Source organism: Homo sapiens, chromosome 17 (genome assembly GCF_000001405.40).
Source record: "Homo sapiens chromosome 17, GRCh38.p14 Primary Assembly".
In the NCBI taxonomy this organism is placed as follows: domain Eukaryota; kingdom Metazoa; phylum Chordata; class Mammalia; order Primates; family Hominidae; genus Homo; species Homo sapiens.
This window is the reverse complement of record NC_000017.11, coordinates 72419818-72436086: the sequence shown is the minus strand read 5'-3', so window position 1 is coordinate 72436086 and position 16269 is coordinate 72419818. Positions and strand designations below refer to the sequence as shown.

The following is a 16269-nucleotide window of genomic DNA, read 5'->3' as shown; positions in this document are numbered from 1 at the left end:
CTGTCTCAAAAATAAAAATGAAAGAAAGCGACAGAAGGAGTTGGGGGGTGGGGGCGGCGGAGAAGGAAGCAAGCAAGAAAGGAAGGAAGGAAGGAATGAAAGAAGAGACATAATAGACAAATACATGACATTATTATTATGGGAATATCCTAGACCTGAGATTAGCCATTCTCATGGTCATAGGAATATAAGAGAAGTTGGATCATGAACAGCATTAACAGAGGTGCTTGGATCCAGTGATGAGCTTTATGGGAGGGGAGGGCATCCCATCTGGGTGACCAAGAGAGTAAGGTTCAGTTCCCTGAAATGGGGAGGTATTGAGAGGAGCCTGGTTCAGGATATATGGAGATTTGTTTGGATGTAGTGAATTTGAGATCCTGGCTGGAATCAGTCATCAGCCTGCCCTGTAGGCATTTGGCAAAATGGGGCTTTAGGAAAAAGGTCCGAAACAGGGGTTTGGGACGTCTTCAAGGAAGAGGGCAAGCAACAGGAATTAGGATGGGCTGAGGACTGTGCCTCGGGTTCCCCTTTGTGCTGGACCTGGGAGGAAGAAGGGGAGCCAAGAAAGTAGGGGGGAGCGTCTGAGCTCTGGGCACTTGAGCGAGGCCCCCTTGTCACCTGCATTCCCACCTTCTTGGGAGGCCTGGAGAGTTGGAAGATGGACTCTGAGGATCAAGTCTACTCTTGCTTTCCTGGGCTCATGTGGGGCTGCAGACCCCATATTTCTGGCATGGCCTCTGCAGGCTGTCGTGGAGCTCGCCCTCTGCTCCCAGCCTGGGCTTGTGTAACAGGCGTGGGGAAGTGCAAGGGGCTGTAGGTCCTGAACCGAAAGGCGGGTGTTGTGAGAACCGTCTGTCTATAATGGCACAGGTATTTGGGAAATGCCACAGAGCAGGTCTGTTCAACCCTGTGGCCTGCAGCCTGTCAGCTGGGTTAGGATTCTCAGTCAGGTTCACATTCAAGCCAGTATTGACTGTATCATTCAGTGGAAAGAGCTGTCCTCCCATCCCTGTAACTGACAGCAGAACTTGCCATCTGGGTGTGTCTGGCTCTTGTCTCACTTTGGGTCATGTCAGTGGTCCCAAGAGTACCCTATTGGGGGTACTTTTTATCCTTGATTTCTAAGCCATTTCTGATTTAGCAAACAAGTCTGTAGCTTCTATTTTTACTGTTTTTTTTTTAAGTACACTTAATAGTTTTATTTCTAGTTCAAAACAATGAATGTCCATCTTATTTTTATTATCTTTTAAATACCATGACACTTTTGTCTTCACCAAACAATGCCTGTTTATTTTAGACATGTAAAAATAGGAAAACAAATAAGTCTTAAACTGACTACCCAGAGATAACTAATGTTAACCTTTTGCTTCCTTCTTCCAAGTTTGTTTTTATAACCCATGCAATTCTATAATTTTTTTTTTTTACAGTATTAGCAATAGCTAACATTTATGGATTACTTGCTATGGTGCAGGAAATATGCAAAGCAGGTGAATACACAGTTTAATTTAGAATTAATTATATATATAGAAATAAGCAATATAGAAAAAAGCATAGTCCTGTTTTACATCCTCAAATTAAAATAACAATTATGGTTGTAGAGGGTTTATAAGGGGCAAGAAGTAGTCACTACAGCTATCCCCAGTTTTCGGTTGAGAAAATGGACACCCAGAAGGTGTCTAGACTAAGCTGGGCGCGGTGGCTCACACCTGTAATCCCAGCACTTTGGGAGGCCAAGGCGGGTGGATCACCTGAGGTCAGGAGTTCGAGACCAGCTTGGCCAACATGGCGAAACCCCGTCTCTACTAAAAATACAAAAAATTAGCTGGGCGTGGTGGTGGACACCCGTAATCCCAGCTACTCCGAAGGCTGAGGCAGGAGAATCACTTGAACCTGGGAGGCGGAGGTTGCAGTGAGCTGAGGTTGCGCCATTGAACTCCAGTGTGGGCAACAAGAACAAAACTCTGTCTCAAAAAAAAAAAAAAAAATGTCTAGACTAAGATTTTAGTTTGCAACTCTCTGCCTCTAGAACCCATGCATGTATGACATGATTTTGATCATTTAATAATATGCTGAGATTGTGTTTTCCTTGTGTCTACAGCATTTTTACTGACTGCTTGGCATTCTTTTGCTCCTCATCCATGGCCTCTATTCATACCTAGAATGGATGGCTGTTCAGAATGAAGCTGGCATCACTGTGTTCACCATTCAGGAAGAGGGATATTTTTCTTTGCTATCTCTCAGCTCCTTATGAGACTCCTCAATGTAGCCTGCACGGAGTGGGTGTTTATCTCCTTCCAAAAAGTGCACACTTGTCTCACCCAATTTGGAACTGGAGTTTGCGATTTGGCTAGAACTCTACAAAGATTGCACTCCAGCTGATGATAAGTTTGCACGTTCTAGTCTCTCTCTCCACCACCTCTCACTGGGTCACCTAGAATCCCTCTGGGTGAGGCACAAGAAAACAACATTTTCATTGCTTTAAGTCAGAGGCAGTTGTTTAGAACTGGTTTGTTTTTCCATAAAGTCATTGTCCTTGAAAAAAAAATATATATATAAAATTATATAAATATAAATATAAATATAATATATATATATATATGCACACACGTGAGCACACACACATACACACCTCTGCCCGTGTATATATGTTTTTTTAGGTGAGGTTCCCACATATGATAAACCTTAACCCAAAGTGGAGGAGTTTGGTGCCCACGCCAGAGCAAAATACTGTAACCCTCCACCGTTAAGCCTAGAAAAGCACAGTTTCTCTTTCACCCAGGTCAGTCTCAGAGAGAGGCACTTTTTAAGAATTTTGTGAGCAGATCACATGGGTATTAGATGCAGGGAAGCTTGCCTCATTTATCTGACAGACTCACATTTTCTGTAGGCTAAAAGTGTGAATGCTAACCCTCTATATTGACTGGAGTCTTGTCTTTCAAGCTCTGGGTGTGTGGTCATTGCAGGGCTGACTTGGGAGTTTGGGTAGGGAATGATCTTCCGCAGGGGAAACCCCCAGGAAGATAGAAAAAGAGAGGAGAAAACTTGCCGGCCTGCCATCAGGTTTGTTTTTGTTAGATGAAAGATAATCCTTGCTTGGTGTCAACTTGTCTTGGTGTTGCGGTAACAATACTTTGGTGATCTAGCTCTTTAATGAGCATAGGAGATGAGTACCGACTCCTGTTAATCACTATCTCCTCTGGAAAGACTCCTTGGAAAGGGAGAGCAAATGAAAGAGAGAAAGAAAGAAAAAGGTGTTTGGAGAAATGTGTATATGTGAGTGTTCTCCAAGTAAACATTTCAGAGCCGGGCCAGAATAATTAGGAGGTACATTGCCATCTGGAAATGTTCATTCTTTTGTTTACCTTGTATTGAGTTTGTTCCAACTAGTGAATCCCTTGATATGGGATGCCTGACCTTCTCTTCCTTATGAAAAAAAAATCACACGTATCTCCTAGTTGGTGCTTTCTTTGATTTTAGCTGAGCTGGGTTAGGTAGTGCGTGGGAAAGATCACCGGGCAGCTTGCTTATCGAAAAGCCAAGCCTGGATACAGTGGGGAGGGGCGGGCAGGAGAGAAGGCCTTCCACCCTCCTGCAGCAGGAAAATAAAGGAGATAAATAAACCCTAATCCTGACCTGGGGGCAAATCCCAATAAAGATCCAGGTTAATTTTTCCTGCCGATCCAACCCTGGAATTCATTGTGAGAATTAGACATTCTGCGGCACTAATTTGCCAGATCAGATTGTGTAATTATCTTTTATAGGCCTGGGTGTGATGTATCCTCCGTGTTTATGCTGCAGGGGGCTGAGTGTGTGTGTTTGGACTTCAGAGTTGCTGCTCCGTCCTGCCAGACTGCACTTCTCACACACAGGCGGGGGTGGCAGCTGTTGGAGCTTCTGCCTGGCCAGAAACAGGCCCAGGGTGCCGGGGCCTCGGATGAACTTGCCTGGAGTGGGTCAGAAAACTTTCAGTAGAGCCCAGAGTAAAAAGGATGTACCTATGGGAGGCAGGTGGGGATGGGTCCCCTGGCTCAAGTGGGGGTCTCCCAGAAAGAGCTTTCAACAAGGGGTTTCAGTAAAGGCTGACAAATTTGGAGACTGGAAAAAAAGTAGGTAAACTCCGAACCAAATGGTGATGTTCATGATCTTTGGCACTTTTGTCTTCCTAGGCCCCTTCCTCCATAAAAATAAAACATTAAAAATTGTATTTTACGGCCGGGCGCAGTGGCTCATGCCTGTAATCCCAGCACTTTGAGAGGCCAAGTCAGGTGGATCACATGAGATCAGGAGTTTGAGACCAGCCTGGTCAACATGGTGAAACCCCATCTTTACTAAAAGTACAAAACTTAACCAGGTGTGGTGGCTTGTGCCAGCTGCTTGGGTGGCTGAGGCAGGAGAATCGCTTGAACCTGGAAGGTGGAGGTTGCAGTGAGCTGAGATCGCGCCATTGCACTCCAGCCTGGGGGACAGAGTGAGACTCCATCTCAAAAAAAAAAAAAAAAAAAAAATTGTATTTTACAATTACAGTGATACAAGGATGAATAGAATCCAGGCTGGATTCATTGTTATCTAGGCATTCATATTACCGTCATTGTATTCATTCTTGTTTTCAAAGGAATTAGAACATTTTCTTGGGCCCCCTAAAAGTATTGGGGGCCCAGTGGATGTGTTGGCCTTGGGTAGGTTTCTAGAAGTTGGACCCAGTGGTTTGGCTTCTTGACTACTTGGCATGTTTTGTTGAAATCACTCCGCTTTGATTTTGGACCCATCAAGAATGTCCAAAATTCCCCCAACCTGCAACTCTTATTCTGGCCAAAGAGGGGGCTCTAGCTCATAAAGTGTTGACATCCCATTTCCCGTTCCAGGTATTTTTCCCTCTCCACCCTGGTCTTCTCCTGTAACGTGTGGCCGCCTTTTCCAGCACGGCCTCCTGCCTTCCTGGTGCACTTTTTGGAGAACGTGGTGAGTTTGTGGGACTGGACGTATTCCAGCCTAATGTCTCCTTGTGGCCTCACCTGCTGGGCCTTTTATTTCTTGTTTCCTCAGTCTAAGGTGTCCTGGAGGAGAGGGCTCTTCTATCTTGGTTGGAGGTGCCTTATTGCTGGTGTTGAGCTGGGAACCACTAGGTGGTGTATGGCTCCAGGCATCCCCGGGAATGTCTGGAAGGAACCGGGAGGGGTGGGGCCGGGGGTGCAGAAGGCAGGGAGGGACCCTTGGGGGCAGGTTGTGGGTAGCCAGTTGCAGTCTGTGGCCTCCCTCAGAGGTTTGGAGTCGGGCGTGGCATGCTGCTGTTGGCCTCTTTCCGAGGGAGTGCCATCCACTCCCTGTCCCACCGCTGTCCGCGGTGAGGACAGTGAGGGCAGTGCTACGTGGTGGGGAGGTGTGTGTGAAGCCACGGAAGGGCTTCACAGGGCAGATGCCAAGGCCAGTGGGCCCCGGACAGAGTCAGGCTCCCTGGGCGGCCTTGTGTCTTGGTGGCCCTGATCATCCTGCCAATGCAAAAAGCCAGCAGGCAAGAGACCCCTACTCCCTTTAAGGACCAGAGCAGAAACAAACCATTGTGCTGAATGCAGTGATCCAGGTGCACTTCAGGGTACAAGGTGGACTGCTTGGAACAGGATTACAGGAAAGGGGAAAGGGGGCAGCTGTCTCTTGGGACATGAGTAATGTCTCTTACCCAGTTGGCACTCGAGAAGTCAACTGGGCATGTCTCTGGGGCCTCCTGGAAAAGAGTTTTCCACCCCAGAGGAGAAAGCTGTGGCTGGAGGTAGGGATGTGGTCAGCTTGCCTGAGGTTCCTTGGGGGCATAGGAGGGCAAGAGGGGATACCTCTAAGTCCCTGCAACTCAGAGTGTTCTGAGGACCCCCAGTGCTGGGTTCATCCAAGAGCATTTTAGAAAGGCAGAATCTCAGGCTGCCACCCCAGACCCCCCGAATGCAAATTTCAGCAAGACGGCCAGATGATCCTCAGAGTCTGCTACTTATTAAACTTACCTGGGGAACGTAAAAAAAAAAAAAAAAATCCTAGTGCCCAGGCCTCACCTGTAGCAATCAGAACCTCTGGGGGTGGGGCTCAGGCTTCAGAATGATTTTCCAGCTGCCCAGGGGAGGGGGCAGGGATTTCCATGAGTAGCCAGGTCTGAGAGCCTCCACTGTAAGCCTCTGCCTCCCCTCTTTCACCTACTCCCCACTGTAGGATTTCAAAAAGATCCCTCTCCAGTGTCCCACTGCTCTCTCTCCCCAATCTCTGCCATTATTAAATTGGCAGAATTGAGGCTTCACGGGGACAGGGTGAAGAGTTAAGACTGAGTCAGGATAAAATGCACATCCCCCATGGAGGGGTAACACTGAAGCTATGTCCATTCAGCTGGGCTTTAGCTTGAATGAGTTTATTGGATGCTTCCTACCTAGTAACAAACTGAAAATGGGTTGCGCATGGGGGTGGCTCTGTATAAAGTAGAAACAGGAACCCGTTCCAGATGCGGGGGTTGGAGTTGGTGGGTCTTGTGGAGTTTTGCTTGCTCTGTTGTGGTGAGTTTTCTAGCATTTGCAGGTTAGGTCCAGCATCGGCCAGTTAGGTCCCAAGTGTTGCATGATTCATTGGGACTAAAACTGTCAACCTCCTTTGCCCTGCAGTCAAGAGCCTGTGCATTGGAGGTTGGTCCTGGGTTAAGTTCATGGGTGTGGTAGTGGGAGGCAGGCCCAGCAAACATGTATTGCTGCTGTGGGCTGTGGGGGTGCTGGAGCCCAAGGGGACCTCCCATCTGATCTGGTGGTAGGTGCTGGTTGATGGAGTTGGCCACAGGGTGCCAGCCCAATCCTGTCCTCAGTAACTCAGAAACCACCGGAGTGATCATGTATAATGTACACCCAGCAAAAGAACAAACACCAGCCAGAGACAATCCTTTCTCTTGTGTGTGAAGGTTACAAGTTTTCTGTTTCAAATCTGATGGTATTCTTTTTCCCTTTTTTCTTTCTTCTCTCTGTTTTCATTTGCCAACCTAAGGGTCTAGAGTGATTTCTTTGAGCCTAATGATGGGGAAAGGTAGAACGGGGCTATTATCTTTAAACACCTTTTGAAATACTACTCTTCCTGGTGTCTGAATTAGATTGAACAGAGGTTGGGTTTAAAGATTAAATATCTATTTTAGCAGCAGCAAGTATGCTGATATCTGTGTACGTTTGTTCAGGAACTATATGGGTGGAATGAAAGAGAAACCCACAACAGGAATGTGTAATTAATAATAGTATAGCTGATGTTTATTGAGCGCTTAATAGGGACCAGACATGGCACTAGATGTTCCTCATATGTCATCCCATTCAGTGAATTCAGACATATCACAAATTAGAACATATAAACATTTAGAAATAGGATCATAGGAGTAAAAGACCCAATAAAAACAGAACAACTTGGCACTGTGGCATTAGGTTGTTTTGTAGTAAATGTCCATTGTAAACTTAAGTATTTTTATAACTTGAAAACAATTACTATCCAGTGTAAATATCCATTTACATCTTAGTTTACTCTAGGTCAAGTTTGTGATCATAATAAACTGTATTTCTTTGAAAATATTCTTCAGTCTGCTATATCCATAATTGGGATAGGAAATGAATTACTCCCCTTTTTCTGATGAATGTAGTTTTAGTCTATATGGAAGAATAAACAGCTATTAAACTCCTATGTGCTTGCGGGGAGCTGTCTGGCACTGAGGAACCACTCCGTCCACGTTTAAGCTTCAAGATGAGTTTCATTATCTTGCTTCCTGGTGTAACTCTTCCCTTATTTTTCTAGGTGGAATCAGAGGTTTCTGGCTGACTCGGTGGGTGCTTTGAACCAGGAAAGGACAAGAAAGAGGTGAGTTGCACTTGGCAGTTATAGTACAGCTGCCTGCCTGTGGCTCTTCTTGCTTTGAGGTTTGCTCCTTCTTCAGTGCAACCCTTTGCCCAGACATCCCTAATGCCCCCAGCTCAGAGCAGCAGTTGGCAGGCAGGAGCTTTGCAGTTAGCCATCGGAGAGCCCCACAGACAGGGGTTAATAAGTACAAACAGTCATCACAATTAATTCAGGCCAGGCTGTGTGCTCCTGGCTTTTAGTTGAATCAACTCATTTTCACCTCTCACAACTCTAGCAGTCAGGTCCTGTTATGCCCAACCTACAGATGGGGAGACTGAAGTTTGGTCACTCGCCCAAGGTCACACAGTTAACTAGTGAGGGAGCCAGGCCTAGACTGTTGCTGGGATCTATTGCTGTTTTGAGTGACCATGAATTTTCCCAGCTCCCCGGGGCACCATGCAACAGCTCCTGCTACCTGCCCTGAACACGCCGAGTCTACTGCAGGGCACAGAGGTCTCGCAGTTTGCAGGGAGAACATGAAGCAGGTGACTCAAAGCCTGCGGGTCCAGGAGATAAACAGGTGGATTGCACCTGCTGGCCTTCAGGAGCGCAGAGACTGTCCATGGGGTTAAATGGGATATCAGGGCTTTCTGGCATGCTGCCGACTGAAGTCTGCTCCCAATAAAACAGGATGTGGAACAAGGGGCCGCTCTCCTACTGCAAGGGCTGGGTTTGCCCAGGGCTGTCTAGATTCCACCATCCACAGCAGTTACAGCACTGGGTGTAAGTCTCAGTCGTAAGTACTAAGCAACAGATCATCTCTACTAGTATGAAGCCTGGGAGAGGGTTGTCCCCGCTGCCTGCAGAGCCACCAGGGGTCATAATGGCAGATAGCAGGCCCAGCAGCAAAAAAAAAAAAAAAAGAAAAGAAAAGAAAGGGAGTGGGGAAAATGGGTAGGAGGAGAGAGGGAGAGAGAGCAAATGCCCCCTTCCTCCTGTTCTGATGCTGTTAGGGCATGAGGGGTACAGAGTGCAGGGAACACCCAGTGGGGACATTATCATGCCATGGAGCAGCTAATACTGCTTGAGTTGCTGTACAATGCAAACACATTTTTGGAACTAGACAGATTATGTTGCAAATTTGTCACTATCAGGCTAGTGTAGTGGTAGAGTGTGGACCCAGATGCCCTGGGTTCAAATTCCATTTCCACTGTGTCTTTGCTTTGTGACCTGGGGCTGGTGACCTTCACTTTTCTGGACTATGCTTTCCACATTTATAAAATGGAGATCATAAAAATAATCTCTTCTATGTTTTGAAGTGAAATGAAAGAATATACAGTTAAGTGCCTGGGATGTATTATGCATTTACAATGAATGTCAGTGGTTTTCTTCTGTGTTTTACAATCTCCCTAGCTCTGGATATGATCTTGGGTAAATTACAAAGCCTCAATTTCCTCATCTATAAGATGCTGATGCTAATACCCTGTCCTCAGGGGAGACTGAGAATTGAATGAAATAACCAAATCCAAAGTCTAGGTCACAGCAGATGCCTATTAGTTCCCTTCCTTATTTATCTTTATCATATTCCACATGGCTCAAGTAGAAGGAAGGTGGACATTGGTTTTAACTCCCCCATTCACTAGAATACTAAGTCCTGACAATGACTCCACAGCAATTTTCCATTTGATCCTTTCCCTCCCTTCTCCGAGTCACCCCTCTCGTGTCGGCTTTTGTAGAACAAGCTGGGATAACCACAAGGGGCCCCAGCCTTTGGATTCCAAGTCTTTCCTCCCCAAAGTAATCCTATTGGTATCTTCCCTAAGCCTCTTTCTGAAATCCAGCATTGGACATGGCATTTTCTTATTTGAAAAAACCCATCATGGCTCTCTGTTTATTGTCCCAGCAACCAAATCTCACTGGACGCTCCACCTCACTTCCCATCACTTCCCACTCACATTTGGATCCTTTCAGCCCAGCTCACCTGGTCTGTATCCCACCCCAAGACTGGACTTGACTGTACCCTGCCACTGTGCTCAGCACACCCCCTCCCTGTGTCACCATCTGTGTACCTCACCTGCTTAAAACCCCACAGCCATGGCACCATGGGGCTGGCAGCTCCTTTACCTGCCCACCATCTCACTTTCAGAACTTCATCTGCAGTGTTGCCTCTGCCTTCCAGCTAGAGCCTTGAGAGTGGGATGAGGGTGGGAGGGGATCTCTTTCATCCCCCGCCATCCTTTCTTCACTGCTCATCCTGGGATCCAAGGAGCACACGGTAGGTGCCCAGATGACTACATGCACTCACCGGTGGGAGCGTGGGCCTGGAAAGAGAGTCTATGGTTGAAGTTACTCTTCAGCTACTGTTTGGGTTTGGATGTGTATTGGGGTGGGGGTTAGTTAATGAGTGATGCCAAGGGGATTTCCAGGCAAACTTCGGGCACTGCCTTTCTGGAAGCAGCACCTTCTGCCTTTGCCAGCCCTCTCCCCCACTCCCCAGGGAACCCCACCCTGAAGACCAGCTCATTCCATGAGATGCATAGCCCCCTCCCCATGAGTGGCAGTAATTCCACCCTTCACTTGTTCATCGATCGGTTCATTCATTCATTCACTCATCTAATAGATATTTACGGGACTGCTGGCACTGCTCTAGGCAGAGAACAGACACTGAACAAAACAGGCTCTGTCCTGCTGGCATGGAGCTTGGCTTCTAATGGGGTATATTAGTCCATTTTCATGCTGCTGATACAGACATACCTGAGACATATGTCTGCTGATACAGACATACCTCCTCCGCGTGGCTGGGGAGGCCTCACAATCATGGCGGAAGGTGAAAGGCATGTCTTATGTGGGGGCAGGCAATAGAGAATGAGAACCAAGCAAAAGGGATTTCCCCTTATAAAACCTTCAGATCTCGTGAGGCTTATTCACTACCATGAGAACAGGATGGGGGAAACTGTCCCCATGATTCAATTAACTCCCACCAGGTCTCTCCCACAACACTGGGAATTATAGGAGCTACAATTCAAGATGAGATTTGGGTAGGGACAGAGCCAAACCACATCATGGGGCCAGGAAAGATGAGAAGCATTGGGTCAGCCATCATTCCTCTTTTGTCTTTCCTGTCCTGCATCCACACTGGCTGTCAAGGTGGGGCAGGCTAAACAGTAAAAAATAGTTAGTATGTAAATTATCTAGTATGTAAGGAGGTGATAGTGTTATCGAAAAAAAAAACACAGAGGCAGGAAAGGCAGCTCCAGTGTGCAGTGCAGGGAGAGAGGTGGAGGGCAGGTTGTAGGGCTGAATGGAGAAGGTGACATTTGAGCACAGACTTGTAGGAGGATGTTTTGGGGAAGAGCCTTTGGGACAGAGGGAGCAGGTACATTGGGGCCCAAAGCAGGCAGGAGTATATGGTGTGCTTGAGAATCAAGCTCAGTAAGTGCTGAGCGCCGAGAGGGGCGGTGACCGTCAGACCAGGTCAGGCCCAGAGGCCTTGGGCCTTCCCTCTGAGGGACCTGGGAGCCAGGCAGGGTTTTGAGCAAAGCATGCTGTGATCCGACTCATTGTGAAAAAGGCCTCTTTACAGGGAAGCTGAGAGCAACAGGGCGGCCAGTGGGAGGAGGGGATGGCAGGGGAAGGGTCCAAGCAGGAGGGGTATCGAAAGTGCCTGTTTGTGTCCCAGGCACACAATGGCACACATACGTTACCATAGAATGACATCGATGGTGGTGATAATGTCAAACGCCACGGTGCCACATCTCAGGGACTGATTCTGAACAACCGTGACTCCCAGATTCAGGATAGCCTCTTGCATTGGGGTCGTGGCTTCATATGAGGGTCACTCTCCTCACCCTGCTGCCTGCAGAGCCACCAGGGTTCACACTGGCAGATTGCAGCCCCAGCAGTAAAAAAAAAAAAAAAAAAAAAAAAAAAAAAGAAATGAAAGGGAGTGGGGAAGATGGGTAGGAAGAGAGAGACAGCAAATGCCCCCTTCCTCCTGTTCTGATGAAGTTAGGGTATGAGGGGTACAGAGTGCAGGGAACACCCAACAGGGACATTATCATGCCATGGAGCAGCTAATACTGCTTGAGATCATTCTTCGTGGTCTCCCTGATGCTCTTTGAGGGGTCCCCTTGTTGTCTCGCAGCCTCTTAGCACCCTCCCGTCTTCCTCCTCCCTCCAAGAAAGGACAACTTGACAACGGCAGGAATGAATGGGTCGGCCGTCTTTCCTCTTGTCTTTCTCGTCCTGCAGCCACAATGATCCTCCAGGCAGGACAGGCTAAGGGTGCTTCAGAGCTCGCAGAACCAGCGTGTCTTTCTAAGAATGCTTCTGGGACGGCCCCGTCTTGGTGGTGATTAGCAGCTGTCCCGTGATTGCACGTAACCTGAAAACAGAACCTATAAGGGAAATGAATGCCTGGTGCCCTTGGTTGGGGGACCTTGCTGTTCATGCACACGGTGGAGAGCTAGCTGGGGGCCACGCCAGAACCCCCTTCTACCTGATAAAGCCTTAGAATTGTGGACATATTGCAGTCTGCTGGAAGCGCTTAGAGCAGGAAAGGGCAATGGGAGTGGTGGGGTCTTTACCTGTGTGTTTCTCCCAAGGTTGAGTGTGTTTCTGAGTGATCCCGCCAGGCTCCTGGGCAACATGGACACTTTCCTCCCCAATGCCTTGCATTCTTCCGCTCCCAGACCAATGGCCCAGGGAGATGGAGCAAGATGGTAGCCTCATGGCCAGGTCCCTGGAGCCAAAGTTTTAAACAGTGATATTACAATGTTACTGCCTTGTGTGGATTTCACATACTTCCTTTTAAAGAACTGTCACATTCCCTACCATATAGCTCCAAGAGCTTCTGTGGTGAGATCATTAGGAGGAAGGACTGTTTTTAAAGGTGAAAACTCTGACGCTCCAGGAGGACACGCTGTCTCCCCAGGTCCATCCATCGTGTGTGTGTGTGTGTGTGTGGCGGGTAGGGGAGAGGTGCTGCGGCTCGAATGTTGGTTTCTGCCATAACCATAATTGAGAGTGAAAAACCCGGGCCCTGGGAGAAAGAAGCCAGTCCTGGTTCTGAGTGTCAGCGGCAGTGCAGATGAGCTCACCCGGGGACCAGAGCCATTTAGAGGATTTGCAGATGGAACTTCCCCTCGGGGTCCAACTGTGAGTCACTGTGGTTCCTGTCCCTGCAGCGGGCTCCATCTCCAGGCCTCCCACTTCACCCTGGGACATTATGGTCGCTGGTCAGACCTCATGACTCACTTGGACTCTTGAGCCACCTCTGGGGGTGGAGTCTCTCTCCTGGCATCTGGACCCTTGGTGCTATCGACGAAGCTTGGCTGGCGCTCTTAGCTGCTATGTGCAAGACGTGTGTCCCAGGGAAAGCCCCTCTCTCTCTGCAGAGGTCAAGTGAAAGCCACGGCCGCAGCCAACAGAGTTCAAAATGCAGGCTTGGAAAGTCCAGGGGGCTCTGTGGAGGTGAGACAGCCACAGGCTGAGCTTTCTGAGCCCTTGGGGTGAGTTTGGCTGTGATACCTGAGAGATGGGGGAACTAACAAGCGCCGGGTTGCAGTGTCGTCCCATGCAGAGGAGCGAGCAGAGTTCACCCAAAAGGCCAACGGCTGGCAGGGTGTCACGTTTCCCACCACACCCGGGGCTCAGCCTCTGCTGTCATTTCTCCTCCTTGGTTTTCATCTTCTAAGGGAAGAAATAGTGTCATCTTTTCTCAACCTGTCAGTCTCACACCTGCCTGGAGCCCCTGGCAGTGAGACACCCAGTGCTGTTTAATCTGATGTCATCTCTGTTGATTGTCTGTTTTAGAAACCAGGTAGCAAGAGGGACTTTCTGAGGATTAAAAAAAAAAAAGTAAATCCCCAAACTATTTCGGGGAGGTTTTTTTTTTTTTAACCTCCTGTTTTTTAGTTTCATTATTTCTTTTTCTCTTACATACACTCTTTTTTAATTAAGAAAAATTAATTTTTTAAATTAAAAAAGACCAAATGCACCCCTTGGGTTGAGGAGTTATGAGAGCAATGTTTAGGGTAAAGGTCAAAGGTGAGATGGATGTCACTGGGTCTTGGGCATGGGTACCCACCTGCTGGCAAACATAAGAGAGGCCATACGAGAGTGGGGAAAGAAGGGTTACTGAAAAATGCATATGAGCTTGTTTTCTCTAATGATGTTTATTTGTTGTCTATCAGGAGATTAGTCCTGAGAGACTGACACCAGAGCCACCTGACGAATGTGGGTGCTCAGAGCCTTGGACTCGATGACCTACCTCTCCTGCCTCCCACCTGACTCCTGAAGTAGGGGAGTGTATTAACAGTCACAGGCCTCAGTTTACCTGCTTTCAGCCTCTGCCCTTCCCGAGAGGGTTGAAGCTGACTTGCTGCATCGCAGTTTTGTCCTTTAGTTCATCAGCTCTGGAACTTTCCACTTCTGGTGTTTTTGGTTTCCAAACAGAGGATTGAGGACGTATGAGAGCAATGTTTAGAGTAAGGTCAAAGATGAGGTGGATCTAACTGGGCCTTGGGCATGGGCGCCTACCTGTCAGACTCTGTCCTTCTCAGACAGCTGCCCAGGCAGGAGCTGCCTCTTGGGACAGTGAGTGGGCCATCTCCATTGAGAGAGTAGGGGGACAAAGGGAAAAGGCAGGGACTGGGTCACTCCTGGGGATGCTGTTTGACATAGACCATGAGGGTCAGCCCCACTGGGCCTGGCTGACCTGGTAGATGGGTAGGTCTAGGGTATGAACATGGATATTAGTTGGCCAGGGTGTGAGAACTTGTGTGAAAGGGTCGGCCCCTGGGTGACTCAGTCTCCTAGCAAACTATAAAAGGGAAGTGACTCATTTCCAGCCCTGAACAAGAACTCCTAAGGCTAGGCCGCCAGCACCTGTCTGGGACGTGGTTAGTTATTAACGCTGCCAGTAAGAGTGTCATGGGAACCAAACGCAGGCCTAGATGCCTGGAGGCAACTTGGCTTTTCACAGCTTGCAACTGTCCACTCACCTTCCCTTGCTGTGGCTCCTCTCTGCCTGACCCCAAATGCAGAGGAGCCCCTTGAACTCTTAGTTGCTGGTGGCTCCCCAGGTGCCTCTTGAGGGTGCAAATTCCACAGGGGTTGGGGAAGGGGGAAAAAGAAATGGGTTGGTCAGGGGAAATCACAACTTTTTTTTCTTTTTTTGTCCTGTTTAGAAGATCAGGTTCAAGTTGCCAGCCAGACTCTGGGCTTCCAGGAGGAGTGGGCTGTGGATGGCCTGGCCTCATTTGCATGTCCCTCTCCTCCCGGCCCTGCAGGTGCCACCTCCTGAGTCCTGGTTCCTGCGGCTCCGTCGAATCTGCAGTGAAGGCCTTTGGGAAGCGTGGGTTATGTGGGTCCAGGGGTCCCATCCTCCCGTGGAGGCCCTTGACCTGAGGATCACTAACTCACACCCCACCGACTTCCGGCCCCCAACAAGGGCAGTGTTCCTCTTGCTCCATTCTGCTCTGAAGTCCCCCAAACCGCTTCCTGGGGCTGCTTAGTGAAATACAAGGCTCATCTCTGAGGACCTCTACAGGGCTGGTGAGTTGAGCCAGGAGTTCAAATCTGCTCTGCCTTCTCCTTTCTTTCTCCACGTCTGGAAAAGTACAGAATGGGCAGCTTCTCCTCTCAGATCCCAAAAGGCATGTTTTACTGCTCCTGGGGGAGGCTCAGCCTGGGCACAAGCTATGTCTACTCCTGCCAGGGCCCTGCCCCTCCACTTCCAAACTGTCAAGCAGGAGGAGGGAGGATGATTGAACAGAAAGACACAGGAGTTTTAGTGAGTCAGGCTCCCCAGTGTCCAAAAAGGGACCCAGGGCCCAGGGGGAAGAGACATCCCTGGTATTTGTTGCCACCTTTGTAAAACCCTCAAGTGCTGGCAGGCAGCACAGAGGGAGTGGCGATGCCACTTGCCTGCCTAGTCTATGGGAGGAATTGGGACATGTGCTCCCTGGGTGGCCCTGAGCAAGCCATCGAACTGCTCCCCCAGAGTTTTCCCCATCTGTAAAGTGGGAATAATAACAACACCTGTCCTGCTTACTTGACAGGGTTTATGTGAGGCCGGCTGAGATCACTGAGCATGTGACAGGGCTTTGGGAGTGGTTAAGGGCCACCCAGATCGGGGTTGAGGCACCGGGGTGCTTATGGTGATTAGCAGCAGAGCAAGGCCTGAGGTCTGTGCTCCCCAGGGAGGGTGGCTTTACAGGCACCCACCTGCGGCTTAAGAGCTTCTTGGGCCTCCCACGGCTGATAAATCACCACCGGGTGGGTGTGCTTTGTCTGGGCTCCAGCATGAGCAGACAGCCTGCCCTTGGCAGCTGCAGAGAGCAGCTCCTCTGCCTTCTCTCCCTTTCTTAGTGGGTTGGGCAGGCGCAAAAATAGATCCCAGAACCCCATCTCTTAGGTTTTGCCAAGGGACCCTCC

At 48.8% G+C, this 16269-nt stretch overlaps 1 long non-coding RNA gene across 5 annotated transcripts in view, besides 10 other annotated features; it reads left to right on the top strand.

The window, feature by feature from the left end:
- LINC00673 (long intergenic non-protein coding RNA 673) overlaps window positions 1–16269 on the top strand; it is a 189483-nt gene that overhangs the window by 156718 nt on the left and 16496 nt on the right. Inside the window, exons 2-4 of one of the 5 annotated variants that reach the window (NR_137281.2) lie at window positions 4863–4959; window positions 7789–7851; window positions 15123–15387. This is a non-coding gene — a long non-coding RNA (long intergenic non-protein coding RNA 673). Of the gene's footprint in view, window positions 1–4862; window positions 4960–7788; window positions 7852–15020; window positions 15388–16269 lie in introns of all 5 variants that reach the window. The other 4 variants (NR_137280.2, NR_152516.1, NR_036488.1 and 1 more) reach the window with 4 other exon arrangements.
- Window positions 5340–5840: an enhancer, noted in NCBI's record as "H3K4me1 hESC enhancer chr17:70426388-70426888 (GRCh37/hg19 assembly coordinates)". NCBI's record gives its function as "activates a minimal SCP1, AML or CMV promoter by ChIP-STARR-seq in primed H9 embryonic stem cells {active_cell/tissue: H9 hESC(primed)}" and the evidence as "EXISTENCE:reporter gene assay evidence [ECO:0000049][PMID:30033119]".
- Window positions 10595–10644: an enhancer, noted in NCBI's record as "active region_12677". NCBI's record gives its function as "activates an Ori minimal core promoter by ATAC-STARR-seq in GM12878 lymphoblastoid cells {active_cell/tissue: GM12878}" and the evidence as "EXISTENCE:reporter gene assay evidence [ECO:0000049][PMID:35858748]".
- Window positions 11245–11324: an enhancer, noted in NCBI's record as "active region_12676". NCBI's record gives its function as "activates an Ori minimal core promoter by ATAC-STARR-seq in GM12878 lymphoblastoid cells {active_cell/tissue: GM12878}" and the evidence as "EXISTENCE:reporter gene assay evidence [ECO:0000049][PMID:35858748]".
- Window positions 11335–11384: an enhancer, noted in NCBI's record as "active region_12675". NCBI's record gives its function as "activates an Ori minimal core promoter by ATAC-STARR-seq in GM12878 lymphoblastoid cells {active_cell/tissue: GM12878}" and the evidence as "EXISTENCE:reporter gene assay evidence [ECO:0000049][PMID:35858748]".
- Window positions 11918–11987: an enhancer, noted in NCBI's record as "active region_12674". NCBI's record gives its function as "activates an Ori minimal core promoter by ATAC-STARR-seq in GM12878 lymphoblastoid cells {active_cell/tissue: GM12878}" and the evidence as "EXISTENCE:reporter gene assay evidence [ECO:0000049][PMID:35858748]".
- Window positions 12898–13207: an enhancer, noted in NCBI's record as "active region_12673". NCBI's record gives its function as "activates an Ori minimal core promoter by ATAC-STARR-seq in GM12878 lymphoblastoid cells {active_cell/tissue: GM12878}" and the evidence as "EXISTENCE:reporter gene assay evidence [ECO:0000049][PMID:35858748]".
- Window positions 13288–13697: an enhancer, noted in NCBI's record as "active region_12672". NCBI's record gives its function as "activates an Ori minimal core promoter by ATAC-STARR-seq in GM12878 lymphoblastoid cells {active_cell/tissue: GM12878}" and the evidence as "EXISTENCE:reporter gene assay evidence [ECO:0000049][PMID:35858748]".
- Window positions 13941–15140: an enhancer, noted in NCBI's record as "P300/CBP strongly-dependent group 1 enhancer chr17:70417088-70418287 (GRCh37/hg19 assembly coordinates)". NCBI's record gives its function as "activates an origin of replication core promoter dependent on BRD2, BRD4, P300/CBP, MED14 and CDK7 cofactors, with strong dependence on P300/CBP, by STARR-seq in HCT116 cells {active_cell/tissue: HCT116}" and the evidence as "EXISTENCE:reporter gene assay evidence [ECO:0000049][PMID:35650434]".
- Window positions 14311–14440: an enhancer, noted in NCBI's record as "active region_12671". NCBI's record gives its function as "activates an Ori minimal core promoter by ATAC-STARR-seq in GM12878 lymphoblastoid cells {active_cell/tissue: GM12878}" and the evidence as "EXISTENCE:reporter gene assay evidence [ECO:0000049][PMID:35858748]".
- Window positions 14491–14550: an enhancer, noted in NCBI's record as "active region_12670". NCBI's record gives its function as "activates an Ori minimal core promoter by ATAC-STARR-seq in GM12878 lymphoblastoid cells {active_cell/tissue: GM12878}" and the evidence as "EXISTENCE:reporter gene assay evidence [ECO:0000049][PMID:35858748]".